We start from the raw sequence: 23,392 nt of genomic DNA, 5'->3' as shown, positions 1-23,392 counted from the left end.
GGTTATCAAAGTCTGAACCTTTAGCGACACCTAATTGGGCCAGCTTGTCAGCTTTTCAACATTAGCAAAGATTGAAGTGCATCGATTCAAAAAAGGAAAACAAATTGGAACAAACAACCCAAAGTGTTGCTCATATTTATGAGCAATGTGGTTTATTATATATATATAAAAAAAGCCAAGCCCAAAATACGAAGTGACTCTGTTACTTGCAAAACAAAATGTTACCTGTGCAGGAAAACAGAAGAAGGCTTCTTATAGAATTAACGATTCATTTGCAAGCAGAGTTTTTTTTTTCTAATCCAAATGGAGAAGATTGGGACATATGTGGGAGGTGGAAGCACGTGAAGCCATCTCCATTTTATCCTATTTTTAGAATAGGAGATGAAATCACTCGGGGAAGTGGGAAAAAGCCAGAGTACATCATTTGGTGTAGTTTTGCTTTGACTTCTAGTTCAATGGCTGTTTCTGACACTGTTCTAGGGTATTTAGAGATAATGTTCCTCCAAATAGACTTTGAAACTTTTTTCCTAGTGCTACAAAATAATTACTTCAAAAAATATTTAAAGGCTGATATTTGATTTATGGATATACACATATATACACACATTATGTATACTATCATATCATATGAGATATGTCATATATATGTAAAGATGACTCTCAAAATTCCTAAATAATAAGAAGTTTTTAAGTGGTGACATTCACCTTAGATTAACTCATCCACCAGCCAAGTCCATTTGGCTTTTTAATGTCCTTAATGTGAAAGAGATTTTCTCTCTTTTTATTTCAGCCTGTGTATTTCTGTTCCAAAATAGATACAGTTTAGTTAAACTAACTTCCTGTGCCCTGCTGGGGGTCTGTGTGATGAGAACTATTTTACCCAGACTTAACACAATTACCCTGCTGCTGGTCATGCAAGGCTGGAGTAAACAAAAACATTAAGGGGAGTTAGGATGTTATTAGCCAAGTGTTTTCCTCCATTTCTGGGTATGTGTTGAGGCAGCCACCCAACCTGAATAAGATCAGATGTGTTTAGGCACATTTCTTAAACCAACAGATAGCAACATTCAATGACTTAAACGTCTTTTTCCTTGACATCACTTTTGGGTTTAAAAAACAAGGACTTCTGCTTTTATCATGAATTACTATTATGCAAACAGCATCGTATTGTTAACCATGTCTGACATGATTGCAAGGTTAGATATACATCATCCTTTTTAAAGAATGACAAAAATGGACTTGATTTATTTGAAATCACCACAGAAATAAATATCAACTTTATTTGCTTTCTTCTGAAATTCATTCAACAAATATTGATGAATTGCCTACTATGTATAAGTCATTGTGCAAGGCTCTTGGGAGATTAAGAAATGAAATTTCTATTAATGAGTATGTCTGTACTTTTATGGAATGTTGACCTTCACATATGTTCATTCATTTATTCAACATTTCTGGGGTGTCTCATATGTGTTAATTCTAGGCAAACTGAGGCACTGAAAAATTCTAGAGTTCCTGCATCATAAAATGAAAATGCATGTAAGCTATGGTGTGTTACATTTACCCCCTGACCCAGCAGACTAGTCAACCTGGAGTCTCCTCCAGTCTTCCCAACTGTTTTCTGCTTAAGATCCATGGAGCAGTTCATTTTTTACAACTGAATTCTAACTGATACAAATGTGTTTTATTATAATTTGAAATCTATGAATGAAATACACAGCAATCCTCTATTTCATTAAGCAGAATATTGTATTAACTAAAAATGCTGGACAAAAGCATTTATTCTCTTCTGTGTATCACATAGACATTCATCTTACTCCAACAAATTATGTTTCTTCATACCTCGTTTTTTTTTGAGCACCCTGAACTTCCAACAGGTAATAAGCCCTCTGGCTGAACACGGTTTTCCCATGTTGAAATTTTATTTGCTTTTCAAGATGCAACTCAGAACTTCTTCATCTTTGAAACCATTTCTGACCCTGGCTGCAGTCAAAATTGATGGCTCCAGTGCCATTGATTGATAGCTCACATAGCACCCTGTATTAGTCCATTCTCACACAGCTATAAAGAAATACCCAAGACTGGGTAATTTATAAAGGAAAGAGGTTTAATTGGCTCACAGTTCCACATGGCTGGGGAGGCCTCAAGAAACTTAGAATCATGGTGGAAGGGAAAGAGGCACGTCTTATATGGCAGCAGGCAAGAGAGAGCATGCAAAGCCCAGGGGCAACTGCCATTTATAAAACCATCAGATCTTGTGAGAACTCCCTCACTATCACAAGAATAGCATGGGGAAAATTGCCCCCATGATCCAATCACCTCCCACCAGGTCTCCCACTCAACATCTGGCAATTACAATTCAAGAAGATATTTGGGTGGGGACACAGAACCAAATCATATCACACCCTTTCGGACCTCTACTTTGTATCTTCACTCTACCTCACCTGATATTGTTCTGATAGAGACATTGCCAACATGAAGTTACGTTTTCTCAAAAATTAGAGTCAGTCCATTGATGTAGTAGTTGAATTTCACTCCCAATACCTAAAACTGGGACCAAAATCTTTCACCTGAAACTCTAGAAACAATTGAGTTGTCTCTGGTGGGGAGGAAGAGAGGAAGATTTAAGGAGCTAGAGACAAAGGCTTCAGAGCTGCTGCTGATCCTGTTATCTCACCCCTGATTCTGGTAACAGGGTTCTTGCCTTGGGCTTTGTGGCAAGTCGCCTTCCTGCTTGTGCAGCAATTGTATAAGGAGCGAGTTGCAGCCTTATACCCTGAGTTCCGAGGCAGTGATATCTCCCATACCAACTTATCCTCATTCCAATCCTCTTGTTTGCTCCTTCCTTCATGGGAACTTCTATCTTAGCATGTATACACATTCTATCATATTATTATTATTTGTTACTTGTGATCTACTATGTAGACTTAAAGGTAAGGGCTCTGACAATTAAGTTTGTAGTTTTTATGTGTAGCAAATAAAAATATTCATTAAATAAATTATCAAATATAATACATTGCAATTATGTTTTATATGACTCAACATATGTGACTGGAATCTTCTTCAATCAACAAATTTTTTAAATTTCATTTTTAATTGCCAATAATAATTGTATAAATTTAGGGGTGCAATGTAATGTCTTTATACGTTTACATTGTGGAATGATTAAATAAAGCCAATTAACAACTCCTCTACATGCTAAATTTTGGGGACTATTACATTTAAAATCTACCCTTCTAGCAATTTTTGAAGTATACAATGCATTATTAACTATAGTCACCATGATATGCAATCAGTCTCTAAAATTTATTCCTCCTGCCCAACTGAAACTTGGTACCCTTTGCACAACATCTCCCCATTCCCCATTCTCTCCCATCAGCCTCTGGTAACCACCTTGCTACACTCTACTTCTATGAGTTTGACTTTTAGATTCCACATGTAAATGAGATTGAGTGGCATTTGGCTTTCTGTATCTGGCTTACTTCACTTAGCATAATGATCTCCAGGTTCATCCACAGTCTTACAAATAACAGAATTTCTTTTTTAAAGTTTACTCATATTTCATTGTGTATATACACCACAATTTCTTTATCCATTCATCCATTGCCAATCAACAAATATTTCTGGATCACCTGCTATGGACTCAGTTTCCTAGGACACAAATATCAATTAAACCCATTTATCGAGGCATTTAAAAACTGCTCTTAAGTCAAATCATTAAAGGCTTTTAAATATTTTATCTCCTTTATAATGGATCATTTATTTGTCTGTCTTCAACAATGGCTATAAACATCTTAAGGGCATCATTACATTTACCATTCATATTTCTACAACAAAATTTATGATAGAATTTACATCACAATGCCTGACACAAAACAGGATCCAAGAAGAGAAAAACAGGAATAATCGTTTAGTTATTTTAAGATTCATTCATGTTGTAGCACATATTAATGGTTCATTTCTTCTTATTGCTGATAAGATTTCAATTATACTCATATGTATATATCACAATTAGTTTGAATATTTGGATTGTTTCTAGCTTTGGGTTAACAAATAAAGCTGTTACGAACCTTCATTTACAAGTCTGTAATCTTTCTTGGGTAAATATCTAGGAGTAGAATGCCTGGATCATATGGTGGATGTATGTTTAACTTTTTAAGAAACTTCCAAACTGTTTTCCAAAGTGGTTGCACAATTTTACCTTCCCACCAGCAGTACATGAGAGTCCCATTTGCTCCACATCCTCATCAACACTTGTTTGGTCAGACTTTTTAATTTTAGCCACTCTACTTGTATAGTGGAGTGTATAATTGCCATTATATATATTCCTTGGTGAAAAATTTCTGTTCAAATCTTTTGCCAGTTTTTTACTGCATTATTAATTACCAATAACAGTTGAGAGTTCATTATATATTCTGGATACAAAGCCTTTATCAGACACAAAATTTATAAATATTTTCTTCCAGTTTTTGGCTCGTCTTTTCATTCTCTAATGGTGTCTTTTGAACAGCAGAAGTTCTGAATTTTGATGAAGCCTAATTTATCTTTTCTTTTTAATGGACAATGCTTTTGCCTAGTCCAAGATCAAAACAATTTCTATGTTTTCTTCTAGAAGTTTCATAGCTTTAAATTTGATGGTATGTTTAACTTTAAGTTTGACTCTATGATCCTGTAATCCCAGCATTCTGGGACATCAAGATGGGAGGATCACTTGAGGCCAGGTGATCAAGACGACTTCGAGTTAATTTTTGTTTACACCGTGAGAAATGGAATGAAGTTAATTGTTTTGCATATGGATATCCAATTGTTCTGGCACTATTTTTTGAAAAGATTATCCTTCCTTTACTGCATTACCTTTGAAATATTGAGAAAACTAATTAATCAAAATATGTGATCCCATTCTGGAAATTATACTCAGTTCCTAATACAAAAATTATTTGTTGGTAGTTAACAATTCAATTAAAAAAATACAAAAAGTACCAACCTACTTTTTGTTTTGGGGTGTGTGTGTATGTGTGTTTTGTTGAATGCCTAGTAATTTTTCTTAGATGCCACTCATTACAAATTTAATCATGTTGGGTGCTGGGTATTTTTATATTTCTATAAAAATTGGGAGGGGGCTTTGTTTTGAGATATAATTAAGTTACTTAAAAATCTGAATACTTTGGGTCTTCCTTTAGAGCTTAGTCAGGTGGGATGAGAGCAGCATTTAGTCTAGGGATTATTTTGTCCAGTTACTGACCCAACACCCTATGAATTATGAGGTTGTCCGCTCTGATTTGGGGGGATAGATGCTAGACCAAGCCCCACGTGAGCTCTGAAGATTGTTCCCTTTACTCTTATCCGGTAGTTGTTTCCTCAGCCTCAGATGTTTCTTCACCTGCACAAACTGATCAATACTCAGCTGAAGATTCAAGAAAGACCCTCTGCAAATTTTTAAATCTCTCTCCCTTCTTTCTCCCCTGTCCTGTGTTCAGCCCAGTCACATCGGCCTCCCTGGATTTTTAACTCCATCCACCAAGTTCAGGGAGACAATCAGGCTCTGCCCCGGCTCCTGCAGCCTGCAGCATGCCCTGCAGACAATATCAAGGCAATACACTGAGGCAATCACCTCACCTCATTTGTTCCACACACTCAGCATGGTCTGTTGCCTGATTTTAATGTTTTCAAAATTACTGTTTTCCATATTTTGTCTTGTTTTGTTTTTTTTTTTTTTGAGATGGAATCTTGCTCTGTTGCCCAGGCTGGAGTGCAGTGGCACAATCTCAGCTCACTACAACCTCCACCTGCTGGGTTCAAGTGATTCTCCTGTCTCAGCCTCCCGAGTAGCTGGAATTACAAGGGTGCACCACCATGCCCACCTAATTTTTGTATTTTCAGTAGAGATGGGGTTTCACCATGTTGGCCAGGCTGGTCTCAAACTCCTGACCTCAAATGATCCGCTCCCCTTCGGCCTCCCAAAGTGCCGGGATTACAGGCATAAGCCACCATGCCCAGCGTATTTTGTCTAGTTTTCAAGTTATTGCATATGGGATGGTAAGTCTGGTCCCTGTTACTTGTTCTTGGCAAAAAGAAAAACTCCTCATATTATTCTACAAGTCATTTGTCTCCTACATTCAGATGCCTTGATAGTGTTTTACATTAACATTATCGTTACCCATATTTCCTTACGTCATTCCCCACTCCGGGGTTTACAGCCAGAATTACAAACTTGTTGAGATTAAAAGATCTTAGAAATCACTTAGTCTATATGCATGTGGAAAATGAAGAGCAGGCAGACAAAGCTGTTACCTGTGGAGAGTGTCCAGGTTCTTGGAGTCTTGAACAAAGAATTGGACAAAAGGCACAAAGCAAGGAAAGAATAAAGCATCAAAAGCAGAGATTTAGGCCGGACACAGTGGATGACGTCTGTAATCCCAGCACTTTGGGAGGCCAAGGCGGGTGGATCACGAGGTCAGGAGATCGAGACCATCCTGGCTAACATGGTGAAACCCCGTCTCTACTAAAAATACAAACAATTAGCCGGGCGTGGCGTGGTGGCGGGCGCCTGTAGTCCCAGCTACTAGAGAGGCTGAGGCAGGAGAATGGCGTGAACCTGGGAGGCAGAGCTTACAGTGAGCCAAGATAGCGCCACTGCAGTCCAGCCTAGGTGGAAGAGCGAGACTCCGTCGCAAAAAAAAAAAAAAAAAAGGCAGAGATTTATTGAAAACAAAAGTACATTCCACTAGGTGGGAGCAGGCTGAGCAAGTGCCTCCAGAGCACGGTTACAGAATTTTCTGGGACTTAAATACCCTCTAGAGGTTTCCCATTGGTTATTTGGTGTACACCCTATGTAAATGAAGTAGTGGCCTGTTGTCAGTCTGATTAGTTGTGGGAGGGGGCCAATCAGAGGCCAAAACGAAGTTACAAAGTTACACCCTATGCAATCATCTGATTGGTTGTGGAAAGTGACCAATTAGAGGCTGAAGAGAAGTTACAAAGTTATACTCCTATGCAAATGAAGACTTGGCCCACAACCAGCCTGACTGTGTGTCCAGAATTGGTGGGTTCTTGGTCTCACTTACTTCAAGAATGAAGCCGTGGCCCCTCGCGGTGAGTGTTACAGTTCTCAAAGGCGGCGTGTCCGGAGTCTTTTCCTTCTGATGTTCAGACGTGTTCGGAGTTTCTTCCTTCTGGTGGGTTGGTGGTCTCGCTGGCTTCAGGAGTGAAGCTGCAGACCCTCCCGGTGAGTGTTACAGCTCATAAAGGCAGTGTGGCCCCAAAGAGCGAGCAGCAGCAAGATTTATTGCAAAGAGTGAAAGAACAAAGCTTCCACAGCGTAGAAGGGGACCCCAGAGGGTTACCACTGCTGGCTCGGGCAGCCTGCTTTTTCTCTCGTATCTGGCCCCACCTACATCCTGCTGATTGGTCCATTTTACAGAGAGCCGATTGGTCTGTTTTACAGACAGGTGATTGGTCAGGCATGGCGGGCTGCAGGTACCGAGCCCTGCCCCGCGGGGAGGCAGCTAAGGCCTGGCGAGATATCGAGCCCAGCGCCGGTGGGTCAGCACTGCTGGGGGACCCGGCGCACCCTCCGGAGCTGCTGGCCCGGGTACTAAGCCCCTCACTGCCAGGGGCCGGCGGGCCAGCCGGCGGCTCCGAATGCAGGGCCCGCCAAGTCCACGCCCACCCGGAACTCTAGCTGGCCCGCAAGCGCGCCCCCGCAGCCCCGGTTCCCGCCGGTGCCTCTCCCTCCACACCTCCCCGCAGGCTGAGGGAGCCGGCTCCCGCCTCGGCCATCCCAGGAAGGGGCTCCCACAGTGCCGCGGCGGGCTGAAGGGCTTCTCAAGCGCCGCCAGAATTGGCACGGACGCCGAGGAGGCATGAGAGCGAGCAAGGGCTCTGAGGGCTGCCAGCATGCTGTCACCTCTCAATTGGTTACAGGAGCAGGAGGGGACCAAACAGAGGTACTTTCAATTTTTCATCTGCCTCACAGAAAAGGGGGAGGTTTCAAAGGAAGTAGCCTCTGGTCCTTTTGTTACGTGGGCTTGGAAAGTTGGGGTTTTCTTTTTGGTTTAGTTCTAGGAAGTCAGCGTGAATCGGCCTTAGGTTCCCTGCCTCCAGACCCTATTCTCCTGCTTCAAAGTGGCATCCCAAGGGCACAGAGCTGCTCAGTGACAGTGAAGTCAGTAATAGACCTTAAGCCAATTGGTGCTTGGCCTTGGGCTCACCTGTAACCTACGCAGTGTTATGAGGTTCTCTTTCTTCTGCCTGAAAAGCTGCCATTGAGCTGACGGAGGCTCCAGATTTCTAGTCCAGGATGGGATCACTGACATACTGAAAGTTTCAGTCTAATTTTAAAATGTGCCAAATGCTCTGTCCCTAATGTGAGATAAAGATCCTTAACCGTGACGGGAAGAAAAAGAGTCCCACCTTTCAGAAGGAAAAGTTGTGAAAGCAGAGGCCTGGCTGGGGGTGCTCATGTGTCCCAAGACTCTTTACTGTACTTTGCCCTATGGAATGTATGTGGTGTCACTGGTCACTTCATTGTATCCGAGCGCTTATCTTTATGAAACCAGTTTGTCACCTTTGACCTTCTGACCTCCTCACTTTGGTCTTTGCTGCTGGCAAATGAATATGGGTAAGTGGTCAGAAAAGACAGAGAGAGTCCTCACTTCTAAGAATTTTTTTTTTTGAGTGGTGGGGAGGCAACAGATTTATTTCTCCATAATCATAATTTTACAAAGACAACAGCTTCAATGAATGAATTGTCTTCTGGAACATTTCTGGTATCACAAGAAATTATATCATCTAGCAGATTTCTTTTGGGATATGTCACTTGATAATGACTATTTTTTCCCCTTTTATGCCATGTACTTTCTTCAGGTTATGCAGGCTTTTTAGCATAAATACCATATAAAATAAAATATACCAGGAACAAATTTTTATCTCCCTACGTGTCAAGAAACCTCTGATTTCTTATGTTTATTCTACACAATCTTGCAGAAGTTACTTTACCTCATATAAAGTTAATTTAATTTTCAGTTAAGCTGTTGTAAATGGTAATTCCCACTTGCTCAAAGGAAATGTTTCAAGAATCAAAAAGTTATGGTTAGAACAAGGCTGTGATGCCATAAAAATGTGAGGCATAAAGACAAATGAGTGTAAGGAAGCTCTGGTAGAACTTACCTAAGTATGCCTCATCGTGGGGACTCCATCATCAGGTCAGCACATACATTCGTTGTTAAAACTGAGTACTAAGTGTATACAGAGGTTTTCATTTATTTATGAAAATCGTTTTGGTTATTTAACTCTATGCTTTGTGAAATTTTGCTGAACCACTAAACTATATTAAAGTAGTTGGCTCTCAACTAACAGGTTTTAATGTATAAATAATGTGTCCTCATCGCAGTGTTTTTAGCTGTCTCTGCCCAGAAAAGGCAATTTTGTGAACTAGTTTGAGTGCATTGTACACAGGGTTAGGGGGACATAGCAATAGTCATTTCAAGGCTCCTACCCATATAATGATTCTATGGCAATAGAGCTTATAAAATTAATGTAGAAGGCTGCAATCTTTTCTAAACAGTTTGCACAAAAAGAGAATTAGTCTATATTTTGCATGAATCACCACCAAAAAGTCACAGAATAAACATTAACATTATTTAAAAGTGGGATATAGATAGATAGATAATCTATATGGAGATATACAAATCATCCCAGGGGAGGTCAAGTCTGCAGTGAGCCATGTTCATGCCACTGTACTTCACCCTGGGTGACAGAGCGAGACCCTACCTCAAAACAAACAAAACAAACAAACAAAAAAACCCACAAAATACAAACAAGGCCGGGCATGGTGGCTAACGCCTGTAATCCCAGCACTTTGGGAGGCTGAGGTGAGTGGATCTCTTGAGGTCAGGAGTTCAAGACTAGCCTGGCCAACATGGTGAAACCCTGTCTCTACTAAAAATACAAAAATTAGCCAGGCATGATGGCATGCCTGTAATCCCAGCTACTTGGGAGGCTGAGGCACAAGAATCGCTTGAACCCAGGCGGCAGAGGTCGTAGTGAGCCAAGATCGCGCCACTGCACTCCAGCCTGGGCAATGAAGCAAGTGCTGATCTAAAAAAAATAAAAAATAAAAAAAAATCAGGCATGTTATACATATGTCTAAAACATTATTATAGTGGTCATGGAAGGTCAGTCAAAACATGAGTAAGTGGAAAATCCACAGGCCTGGGGTTAACAGACTTACTTTCCAACTCTGGCTGTATCCTTCTGTAGCTGCCCATCCTTGAGTAAGGTACTTATCCTCAATGAACAGTTTTCATCATCTAGAAAATGGGAATGATAGTATAATATGGTACTATCATTCCCATTTTGTGTATATGTATATATATAGAGAGAGAGTATAACATGGAAGGTACTACCATTTTATAGTATAATTATACTATATATATATATATATAAAATGCAAATATATATATATATAGGTTGTTGTGAAGTTTGGAGTTAATACAGACAAAGCATTCAGCATAGTGTCCAGCTCCCTGCATGGCGGCTGTTAATGGAAGGCACAGAGGGGTGGGGGAAACAGTGTGAGCTTAGAAACTATATCGACCTGGGCTGGAACTCCAGCTCTACCACATGCTTTCTCTGTGTCTTGGGCAAATCACTTAAATTCTCTGAGCTTCAGTTTCTCCATGAAGTCATGGAGATGATTATAAAAATACCTTCCGGGCAGAACTGTTGAAGTAATAGACACTATGCAATATATGTGTTAGAAGAATTCTTGTCAACCTTCTAGGAAGAAGAGTCCACAGAACATGGGGGTGAGGGGTGACAAAGCCTCTAGTGTTTGTTTCTTCCTGAGGGAGGAGGCTGGCTCTCTGATGTAAGTGTGAGTGGGTCCTGAGTCCTAGAAGGAGGTAGGGTTCTCAGTGTGTTGCACATAATACAAATCCTGGATAAAGACTTTTAATCTGTACCTTGCTCCCTGTGCCCAGTGGTGGACCCCCAAAACAAACATTCCTTGATTTCTATCAGAAATATATCTAGCCAAACTCACCTGCAGAGGTCCTGAATGTGCTTCAAAAACAGGAAAGGTCTCCTCCCTCTGTTTTTTTCCCTGCCTGTCCGATCAGCATGAAAAAGCAAAGCTTGTCCTCCTAACCCCACTTCAGCGGGATCTCACCAACGCTGAAGGAGCAGTGGCCAGGTGGTCACTCCTCTTGCTCCTCCTGGATGGATAAACTGTAGGCCTGAGTCAATGGACTGAGCCTTCTTGACCAAGCCATTTCTTCCTAAAGGCAAACCTCCATGCATATCTGAAAGCTTAGATTTCGCACAGAATAGAGGAGACCTCTGTTTACCAGACACTGTATTGTGAGCATTGCTTGGCACTTGCATCCCATTAAAATGTCAATATTTTTGTCTGCCTAGGAATGGTCACTCTTCTGTGTATCCCTTATCATCCTGAACTCTGGAAGTATAGGAAGGGTAATCTTTAGTCCCTAAACTTCCAACAATTTATAGAGCACAGAGCACAAGGTCAGGATTGGGTAAATGCAAGCATACGTACTCATGCAGTTACCCTGGTTTTGCACTTGGAGGTAGTGTAATGGTTAAGAGCATGGGCTTTAAAGTCAAGCAGATCTGGATTTTAATCCTGACTGTGCTGTTGTGTAGGGATGCGACTTTGGCAACATCTTTAACTTCTGCAAGCCTCAGTATCCTCATTTGTAAACTGGTAGCCACACTAGTACCCACCTCCGGGGCCATTGTGAGGGATTCCGTGAGATGGTGCACTGATGGTGCTTAGAACTGTGTCCGACGCATAGCAGTTGCTTAACGAGTGTTTGTTGCTGTTTTAGCCATTATTACAAGAATTTAACCTGACTTGTACTTCTCAGCCTCAGCCTAAGTGCAAAAGCAAATGTAGGAAGAATCCTGGCTCTTGCCAAGTGTTCCTGACTTTTCTATTATAGTTCCTTTGGGCATGTGTCCCTTCTTTCCTTTCCCACCTTCACCAGAATAGTTCAGGTATTTATAATTTCACAGGTAACTTGTTACAATCACCTTAGTAATAGTCCTGGCTCCAAAGTCTACTCCCACAAACCATCTTGCATGCCATTGAAATCCTCACCAATTCTCATTTTGGTTATCAACAGTTTCCCACTGTCTAAGATTCCTCAGCCTAACATGCAAGGCTTTCCATAAGATGACCTCAGCCTGTCTTTCCAAACTAATTTTCTTCTGCATTTTACTAACATTGGTTGAATGTTTTCCTTCTGCCAATACTTCCCTGATACTTTCACCCACCTGATTCTCATCTTGCCTTCACAGCTAACTTTACAGATGAAATGAAGCTCACACAGCCATTTAGTGGCTGAATCAAATTCAAACCTAGGTCTTGTTCTTCTAAATCCCATGCGCCCCGAACTGAAGTCTGGTCCCGAGGCTCTTCACAGCTGTGCAGCAGCCTTTCCAAGCTCTTGGCTTACACTTGCTTTTTTCCTTGCCGTTCTCATCCATCTCAGCACCATCCCACAACACCATCATTCTCATCTAACAAAATCCTTCTCATTCTTCAAAGCCCAGTTCGGATGTGGATGTTACCATCTCCATGGTGCTTTTTTTTTTTTTTTTTTTTCTTGAACAGAGTCTCACTCTGTCACCCAGGCTGGAGTGCACTGGCATGATCTTAGCTCACTGCAACCTCCACCTCCCAGGCTCAAGTGATTCTTGTGCCTCAGCCTCCTGAGTAGCTGGAATTACAGGCATGCGCCACCATGTCCAGCTAATTTTTGTATTTTTATTAGAGACAGGGTGTCACCCTGTTGGCCAGGTTGGTCTCAAACTCCTGACCTCAAGTGATCTGCCCCTCTCAGCCTCCTAAAGTGCTAGGATTACAGGTGTGAGCCACCATGCCCAGCCTCCATGGGACATTTCTTAATCTCCTCATCTGGAAATGCTCAAATCCTCCTTCACCATCTTGCCTGGACCACCCCATCACATTTATCACTTATTACACCCAGCCTTAGTTATTACACATCTTTTCTCCCTCCAGGGTGTTCTTTCCTTGACAATGAGAATTGTCATTGTGTTATGTCAGCCCACTCAGTCCTTCACAGGATAGCATAAAGAGGGTGGATGCTCAACGAGAGTGCAAATGAACAGATTTCAGAGGTGGTCCAACAAAGAGCCTCTATGTTTAAGGCTATGGAGAAGAAAACCACTGGACAGAGAGAAATTAAGTGTCTTGGAGATTGAGAAGGTATATATGAAGGTAAGGGAAAGGGGAAATGAGGGAGGCTATGGTCCTGGGGAGGGAAACAGATTAAACTTCAGGAGGAAGGATAGAGTGAACATGATGAGATGAAAAGGAATGTCAACAGGCTGTCAATGAAGTGCAAAGAGAGTATATAAGGAGTAGATAGTACCCAAGACCCTGTGTACAATGTCTAATTGGACACAAGAGAGATATGGGGTCAGGGCAGCCTCTAACAGTTATGATCAGACTGTATGATCAGACTAAGTCCCATTAATGAGGGTTGTCCAAAATCTAAGCCCCCCAGGTGGGATTGCTGAGGCTGCTGGCAGAGCCTGTTTTCTGCTATTTATATATGGGTGATAATAATGCTCTCCCTAGGTTAATTCACAGATTGATGGGAAAGATTTTTAAGAATCAAATGAGTGATGGTGCTTTGTGAGCTGTATAAAACCATAACAATTTTTTAAATATATCGTGTAGATGAGTAGATGTGTATTGAACACACACACATACACCTTGGTAATTGTTTACAAAAGGACAACATCTTGGTGTCCTGTATATTCATACTGCACTAGTAAAGAATGCTAATATTTGCCATGTTGTGAAGTTATTTGCTTTACTCATGGTTTTCTTTGCAGCTGCCGCATCCAAAATCACAAGGCAGTCATTTATTTCACATATCTGAGCAAATTAAAATTCAGCCTTTGAGATACACTGGGGTGTCCCAAAAGCAGAGTCAAGAATCTCTGCTATATATAGTAAAGGCACAGAGTCTATATTTTATAGATTCTCATCATTGCTATTTTTAGCCAATATTAAAATCTTGCATTATCTGTTGAATTTACATCACATGGGACCTGGTCACCTTCATAGATACATATTTCCCTGTATATTATTTACCTCTGCCTGTATTAAAAATTGATCTAAAACTTAGGCACTTAAAGCAATAAACATGTGTTCTCTCATTGTTTTTGTGGGTCAGGAATTTGGGAGTGGCCTAGCTGGGTGATTCTGGCTCACCGTCTCGTATGAGGATGCAGTCAGGATGTCAACTGGGTCCTCCGTTAGCAGGAGGCCTCAGTTCCTCTCTGGCTGTTGGCAGGTGGTCTCAGGTCTTTGCTAAGGGAGCCTCTCTGTAGGGCTGCTTGCTTCACAACATGGCAGCTGCCTTCTCCTATAGCAATTGACCCAAAAGAGGGAGCAAAGTAGAAGCCACATTCCCTTGTGTGACCTAGACTTAGAAGTCACAGACCCTGATTCCGCAATATCCTAGTGGTTACACAAGTTAGCCCCATTCAAATTGGGTTGTAAGGCTACCCAAGGGCATGAATACCAGGAGGCAAGGATTATCAGAGCCATCTTGAAGTCTAGCTACCACAACCTGGATCCTGATTATAATTCAAACTACTGGGCAACTCATGTCTTTCCCAGCTACATCAGTGGTGGTTTATGTTACATTCAAGTTAATAACCTGTATTTCAATGGCTCCAATTCCCTCCTGCTTTTGCATAAACTGAAACTTCATGATAAATATCACTTGACTATTTCTAGGAGATCCCAGGAGGCCTTTTGCAAACAAGATCTGCCCACTGCGATTGATGGTTTCTCAGTTCCTTTCTCTCTTTCTCTGACCATACTCCATGAGGTTTCCTGCAAACGCTTGATAGGAAGCTGTGCAAAAGCACATCCCTTCCACCTCCAGTGGCCCAGCTGATTCCCTTCCTAGTCAGCACTTCTGGGTGCTTCTCCTGCTTCTGCCATGAAGTCTACTTCTTATGATGACAAGAACTTGTGGGCTACCAGTTCCAGCAGTCACTCAACCAATATTTATTGATTCTCTGGCACTGTGTTAGATTCTGGGGACACAACAGGAAACAAGGGATACATGGTCTGTTTCCCCAAAATTTACAGCCCAGAATTCCAGACCACTAAGCACATGTCACTAATCTAGTGGCCAAGTTGAGGGTGTATGTTGGTCTCCTTACTGAACTGGGTTAATGGGGGCTCTAAAGGAGTACTCCTGGTATCCAAATATTTCTCAGAGTTTAATGCTTTCCATTTAAGCTTCTAGTTATTATTCTCCCAATAAGAATCACATAACAGTCTATAAATGGCTGGGCCAGAAAATAAATTTAAAAGATAGATTCTTGCTCTATTCAGAAGCCCCCTTTCCTCCGACATCTAAGTCTTTGTTTCTGGGCCAACTTTGCTCAGCTTGTTATGCCCTTTGGATGACATCTTTCCCAAGAGGGTTCTCAGAACATCATTTAAATACCCTACTCCAACTTTCTGCTGGACATACCCAAGCAATTGCATCCTACATCGATGAAAAACACATTCCTGTACAAACCAGCTCCCTTGCAGCAATCTGATGTGAAAAGAGAAAGAGAATGACCATCATGTCACCTTGAAATTTAAAAAAAATGCTTTAGAGACCAGGCTCCGTGACTTACACCTATAATCCCAGCCCTTTGGGAGGCCAAGGTGAGAGAATTGCTTGAACCCAGGAGTTTGAGACCAGCCTGGGCAACATAGCAAGACCTTGTCTCTGCAAAATACATACATACATACATACATACTAAAAGTAGCCAGAAGCGGTGGCATACATCTATAGTCCCAGCTACTTGGGAGGCTGAGGTGGAAAAATCACTTGAGCCCAGGAGTTTGAGGCTGGCGGTTATGATCATACCACTGCACTCCAGCCTGGGTGACAGAGTGAGACCCCGTCTCTTAAAGAAAATGCTTTAGAGATTTCTAGTTAAACATAAGAGATTGAACACATTTCTTTCAGCTCCCTCCAATACTCCATTAAAATGATAATAAAGGATTTTTTTAAAATAACAGAAATGCAGTCATAGCAATCATGAACCAAGAAGGGAGCTGACAGTAGCCCAAGAGATGTCAGTAATATGTTGGAGGCTTGAAAACAAGGATAAGTATCAAATGACTTTGCAGAGAGGAGAAAGTTAAAAACTAGGCACCTGTAGAAGGGGAAATAAACAAGAAGTAAGCCAATTAGCCCCCCTGAGCCATAGAAAAACTGAGGATTGGAGTTGCTGAAAACACAAGCAGTTCTAGGTGTTCAAAGGAACACCGAACTCCCAGATCCCCTCAACCCTTCTCCACCATAAACACCACTGTGTGGGAAACTACTTCTTTCCCATTAACCCAGAATCCCCAAAGATTCTGGAGTTGGGAACATGTGGTTGACCTTCCACCATGGCTGAAGAATTTTGATAAAACTAGAGAGAACAAGTGAAAGGCTGCTTACTGAAAACTGACGACCCCCACACTGTCTTTGCCTTCTTCTACTGGTCAGAACAATATCCTATTGCCAGTCCAAATAAAAGCATTGATGACTTGTGTTAAAATTAGCATTTTTGGCCTCGAAATTAAAGGAGACATTCTCACAAAATATATAAAATGATGGAGGGAGCTTTCTGCATGCTATTTACATTTTTAAGTGATACCCTGATTATAACTTAAACTGCTCTCATTATGTCAGTTTGTCTGAGGAAGTCCCCTAGAATCCTCCACCCTCTTCGTATTAGTGATTCCGAGGTCATGAGGGATCAGCAGGAAGAAAAGATCTGCCACTCTCCTCTACTCTGAGAAAATTCTAGAACAGGAAGAATGGGGACCTTATTCCTTTGGTGGGGTGTCACCAAAAAAGGCTTAAAAAAATCTGTGGAACTGTTTCTGAGTTATATGTTAGCTGTGAATGCTTTTAGTGTTGTAGTTTTGTTTTGATTTTTACTATTCAGAAAATTTGCAGACTAAAATACTATCATTTGAGAATCACTCTTTAATTTTCCAAGCAAGTTTCAATATGTTCAATATACTTACTATTTACTTGCTCTATCTAGTATATCCCATTCTATTTTATTCTCCATTCAACTTTGTAGAAAGTAGTATTACAAAGGGGTTTTATGCTGCTGCAATTTGCTACTGTTGTCTGCATTTATTTCTTTAATGACAGAAAATTGAAAAGCTGGCAAAGTAACAAGTTAGTAAATAATTTTTAAGGTTTATTTGGAAAAACAATCTTTTAGAAATATTCAGAATCATTTGTTATTAAAACATTATCAGAACACATAAGCCCTCCTAATATACAGAACAATAGCCATGCAGTCATAGAGAAAAGGCATTTCCTCAATAAAATATCCAGTCTCAATTCCCAACCCCAGAGCACATAAACTTGGAAATGACCTTGGCAAGTCTCCTTCAAACTTAACTGGCTTCTCCTGCTTATATTGCTAAAATTCCATAAAGGGGCAACCAATCACAAAATGAACTTGGAATATTTCATGAACTCTAGTCCAACTGTCTGTACATTAAAAAGCTCAAATAAACACCACATGGCAAAATTTAAAGTTTTTTTTAATAAACCTCATGTTGGAAAGCACTGGAACTGGTACCAAATCTTCAGAGAAATTTTGAAATATCGTCAAATAGCATCTAAGTTTCAAATATTCTCTTAATTTTACAAATCTCTCAAGTAGATGAAGCCATCACACATAAACTTGGCAGACATTCAGTTAAAAGTTAATGTGTTGAAACAGTAAATAGCCAAAACACTAAATCAAGACAACTCACTTATTTTGTTTAAATGGAAATCTTCATAGAGAAACATAACTTGGTCTATACTATTCTCAGTAGTTACTAAGATAAAACCAAATACCATCCTCAGGCCTAGCCAGCCTCTCCCAGGTGAAGTCACTTACACCCTGTGCCCACAGGTTCAGTTCCATCAAGCTGAGCCAATCTCAGGCAGAGAAGTAAATTGGGAGCCTGATCCCTGGCTGCTGAGACCTGCCTGCTGAAAACTTCGAAACCCCTTGGCGGGCACTCGTTAAGATGTTCATCAGCATCATTCCCCACTTCATTCCACCCCCAAGTTATACTAAACTATTTGCATTGAATTCCGAGAATACACCACGTTCTCACACCTTCCATTTTTGGCACGTGCTCTCTAAAACACCTCTCCTCCACTTCTTTTCCTGGATAACTCCTCTTCAGTATTTCAGGACTTTGGTTAGCTGTCATAGCTTTGGGGATTTCTTCCCTCACCCTCAACTGCATGCCCAGCCTGAGAGAGACTCCTCTACTCTGCTCTGCCCTTTAATAAAACACTGAATTGCAATATGGTCCAGTTAGTAAATACTTAACTGTTTCCCTTTGAAATAGATTTTTAGTCTAGGGGCTCACTCATTTTTGTATCCTCAGTGATGAGAACAGTGTTTAGTGTATAAAGAGAGCTCAAAAAAATGTCTGATGGTCGAATCTGAAAGTTCTTCAGCTGCCAAAGACCCAGGATTAAATGGACCCAGATGAAATCTGGGCCTTAAGGCAAACCTTCTTCCTCCTCCAGCCATATTGTTCCATTCTCCTTGGCGCTTCCATGTTGGCTTCCCCACCCAATCAATATGCGTGTTTCCTCTGCAGGTCAGTCTAATGTCTAATTGTGGGGGGTGAATCCTCCTTCCTATACTTCTCCCTGCTCTCCTGTGGATTTTCTGCTGTGGTCTTCCCCCCACTGCCTGACCCCACCAACACATTGAAACTATCCTTGGAAACCAATTCTTGCTGAACCCAAGCCTTAATTTACTGTCCCTTTGGAAAATGAGAATTGGGCTCTATTCTAGATAATTCAGGGTCAAGCCTACTCCCAGGTCAGTTCTCCCAGTCCCCTAGTCCACATAGTGCCAGCTTCTTCCCTTTCCTACCAACCAAGAGATGAGCAACTCATTCTCCTTTTACCTTGCATCCTAATCACTAGCTTTCTTCTTGAAGATAGGATGGGCAATGATGTATCATATTGAACTCAAAGAAGAAAAATGAAAGCCCAGAAGTGAAAAGCTGCATAAATGATCATTGATCTCCTTTGATTCAGATACAAAGTGTGACTACACAGTGAGACTCATTTCATTTTATCCAATATATCAACATATGAAGTCAGTCTCCCTGGGAGTAGTCACTCATTCCACAGACGCATCTGAGACAATATGTTAAACGTATGCGGGAACTCAGCCTAAAACTTTTATTTTGGGTCACCCAAAAACTTGACTCAAAATAACTGATAGCTACTTTCAGAAATGAAATTCATCCTTAAAATTAAACATATGCCATCATTAAGGATATTCATAATGATGAGCCGCAAGCCCTGAAAGCATTTCTACATGGGAAGAGTATTTAGTATTTTGAGTCAAGTTGTTTGACCTAAATAAGTGTGTAACCTCCCTAAGAGATTACTTTGGAAAATACCCCCAGATTATACATTTTAATGTACAAACTCTGGCACATCTGCCTTTTTTAAGAAAAAAATCTCATTATCTCAGATTTCTCTTTTCCTTTTCTTACTCAAGCAATTTGGAATATCATACAACAAATAAAATAATTTATTTTATTCAAAATCATACTTTGAAATAAATCTATTACAAAAACCCTCTAAATATATATTTTCTGAATGTGAAATTTTCAGTGCCTAATAGTGCATTCAACACTTTTGTATGTGATCTTAGTTGGGATTAATTCATTTGGAGAAATAAAGCAGGTGCTAATTTATTTTTCTGCAACAATGGCATCAGCTTTCAAAACAGTGATGCCTTGTCTATAGAAAATATCAAATTATTTCTGTTCTTGGAACTCATCTTTGAGTTTCACTTGCTTCATATCACCCCTTTTGTTCACTTCGATGCTTTGGCTTTAGAGGGGAGCAGAAGGGAGGTCTCCATCACTCGTCTGTTGTGATCTTCACACGAATCCCTCAGTTGTGGGTTTAACAAGCATTTTTTTCTCTAACAATAAGAGAATCAAAGAGGGACTCACCATGGCCGGACGCAGTGGCTTATGCCTGTAATCCCAGCACTTTGGGAGGCCAAGGTGGGAGGATTGCTTGAACCCAGGAGTTTGAGACCAGCCTGGGCAACATGGCAAGCCCCTGTCTGTACAAAAAGGAGAAACAATTAGCCAGGCGTCGTAGTGCCCGCCTGTAGTCCCAGCTACTGGGGAGTCTGAGGTAGGAGGATCACTTGAACCCAGCAGTGAGCAGAGGTTGTAGTGAGCTGCGATCTTACCACTGCACTCCAGGAAAAAACAAAACAAAACAAAACAAAAAAAAAACAAGAGGGCCACACCATAGAAAAGCACTGCTTCTCCCTTACCCCAACCACCCCTGACCCCTGATGCCATTTGCCCAGTGTGGTTCATATGAATGCCCAATCTGCCTCTAAGAGAATACATAATAGTTAATGAGCAAAAATTCAGCAAGGTAGCAAATGATTTTTGCAATTGGATGGGTTATCAGATGAAAAGAAATATAAGGATTTGGGGGATGGGGGTATTTTGAGGTACCTCCCCCAGGTTTCTATTTGCCCAGAAACCTTTCCTCTCCAGTCTTAAGGCTATAGCAGTGAAATCGTTAGGATTGTGGTTCTCCTCCTGTCAGCCTTTTTTCTTTCCTTTTCTCTTCAAATCTGCAGTTTTGTTCACTTCGACTTGACTCATCCGTGGAAAATTACAGGGATGACACTTCATCCATGAAGGCGCTAGTCTCCAAGATGTATAAAATCTGGGAAAACTTCTGCCTTTCTCTTCTTCAAGGTTATCACAGGGAGTGGGCTGCCTTCATCCCTCTCCTCTTGAACCACCTATTACTCCCCGCAGAGACATCTCCCTTTCAGTCTATTGAGAAAAAGAACAGTTTTCTGTCTTTATCCCATTCTTCATCCCTAAAGCAACTGCTGAACTTTTGAATTATAATTCAAGTATCTGTCAGTATTAGTCAACTATTGCTACATAATAATCAACCTCAACATCTGAGTGGTATCAACAAGTATTTATTTTCTGTTGTTCAGTCAGTAAGTGGGGTAGCCCTGCTCCACACCTCTCTCATCCTCCTCCTCAGACCAACAGGCCAGCCCAGGCATGTTCCTCTCATGGGACAACAAAAATTCAAAAGGGCAAGCCCGGCTGTCCAAGCACATTCCAACCCCCTGTTGTGTCACTGGCATTACCATCTCATGGGCCAAAGCAGGTCACAGGACCAAGCCCAAATTCAAGTGGTGCATAAATACACTATACCTTTTGTGGGAAGGACATTTATGTTTATATGACAAAACATAGAGGCATGGGTGAAGTACTAGGGCCAATAATTCATTCTGCTATATCCTCAACCTTCATCAACTTGGAGATACAAATGGAAGAACTTATCAAAATATCTGCTCATCTACATTTCAACAACACAGTACCCCTCCTGCCCAACAGGCAGCCCTCCATCCACTTTCAAGTTTCCTTATTCTTTCCAGTATGTCAAAGAGAATTTCCCGGAATGAGAGGTGGTTGGTATCTTCTGTGTTCTTTCGTCTGTCCAAGATGCAGCCTGTGCCTCCACATGCCTGGAAACACACAGCCAACCTAAATCCCTCCCCAAGACCTCGTTCCACCCATCTCAGATCGTTTTTAGAACTTCCATTTCCTTTGTTACCCTTAATTTTCTTCGACCGCACCAGTGAGATGAGGCTCACAAGACTTAGCTAAAGATTTCAGGAAAAGAAAGGAGAACAGCACACAGAAAGTGAGTGAGAACTAACTATTCTTTTTGATCACTCTCAGAACCCATAGCCCCCAGGTCATCCTTATAGGATCTCCAGGCTGCAAGTTGCCTCTCAGCCTGGCTGCTGGCATGACTCATGAGACTGGAAATATTCTTGAGTATGCCTGGACTCTGTAGAGTCTAGGCCAAGAGAGAAGGAGTGCTCTGATCATCGTTCTTCCAAACGTTTACTTCCTGTTGTAGAATCTCACTCTTTAAAGGATGATTGACAGCAGAATAGGCCACCCTCTTCATGAAGGAACATGCCTTTCGTCCTCAAGTGTCTCTATTTGAGTAAAAGATTTTGCTACCAAAAATCTTTGAAAATCATCATTAAAAAATATTCTTGTTAAAAGCTGTGTTTATTTCTCCCCTTTTTACAATACAGTATGTTTTGAAAGAATAGTTTTCTAAATTTCTATTATTTCCCCCAAAGTTTAAAAAAAAATCTCACTTCATCCAGGACCCACTCTCAAGGTACCAAAAGCAACCTCAGTAATAAACAATACCAAATATTTAGTGGCTTACAAACGTAAAGGTTAATTTCTAGTTCACATCACATGTCAGGAGTAGGCTGGGTACAGAACTGCAGTTCCTTCCTACCTGCCTACATTTCAGGACGTGGTTAAAACACAGCCACTATTAGACATGCAACTGGCATGGCAGAGGATGAAGACAAAGAGCTAAAGCAAGTAATGCTCTTAAAACTTCTGTGTGGGTGTGGCATCATGGTTGAGTATCCCTTATCTGAAATTCTTGAGACCAGGTGTGTTTCAGATTTTGAATGTTATTGGATTTTAGAATATTTTAATATATGTAATCAGATATCTTGGAAATGGGATCCAAATCTAAACATGAAATTTATTTATGTTTCATATACATTTAAACTGATAGCCTGAGTTTAATTTTATAAAATATTTTAAATAATTTTCTGCATGAACTAAAGTTTGTGTACATTGAATCGCCATAAGGCAAAGGTGTCAGGTATGGAATTTTCCACTTGTGATGTCATATCAGCACTCAAAAAGTTTGGGATTTTGAAACATTTTGGATTTTGGATTTTCAGATTAGGGTTGCTCAACCTGTATTGCCATTTACACTCATATTTCAATGGCTAAAATAAATCATATGGCCAAGCCTGATGCCATTTGGGTAGGGAAGTATACTCACCCCACAGGAAGGTGCTTAAAGTCGCACAACCAAAGAAGGTGGGGAAATACAAAAATTGAGCAAGGAAACCATCAGTAGTGGTTTCTAATTTCTATGTCACTGATTTGGGGGCCACTCTCCAGCTTCCCAGATATGAGGGGCCATTGAAGATGAAGAGGTGGCTTCTTGCTTCCAGCCTAGCTCTAGTGGTGGCCTGAGGAGCTGTAGCCCTGTGGTGGGTTAGTTTCTGTCCCATGCACTGAGCCCTGGCTGATTCAAAGGGAGAGAATAGCTCTCAAGTCATTGTCCTTCCTGCCTCATTTCTTTTTACTGAGATCCCTGAGAGATAGAAAGACTGTGCATACACACGGTAGTAATGCTGAGCAAGAAAGACTGGTGTGAGA

The 23,392-nt window shown here is 41.0% G+C and overlaps 1 long non-coding RNA gene across 1 annotated transcript in view; it reads right to left on the bottom strand.

Annotated features, from left to right (window-relative positions):
• Positions 1 to 7,341, bottom strand: part of LOC105372130 (uncharacterized) — a 177,123-nt gene extending 169,782 nt beyond the window's left edge. The window contains exon 1 of the long non-coding RNA XR_007066382.1: positions 7,062 to 7,341. This is a non-coding gene — a long non-coding RNA (uncharacterized LOC105372130). The remainder of the gene's footprint in view (positions 1 to 7,061) is intronic.
• Positions 7,342 to 23,392: the final 16,051 nt, after the last annotated feature.

The sequence above is a fragment of the Homo sapiens genome, chromosome 18 (assembly GCF_000001405.40).
Source record: "Homo sapiens chromosome 18, GRCh38.p14 Primary Assembly".
Lineage (NCBI taxonomy): Eukaryota > Metazoa > Chordata > Mammalia > Primates > Hominidae > Homo > Homo sapiens.
Note: the sequence above shows the minus strand (reverse complement) of the source record. Positions and strands in the feature narration are given on the sequence as shown.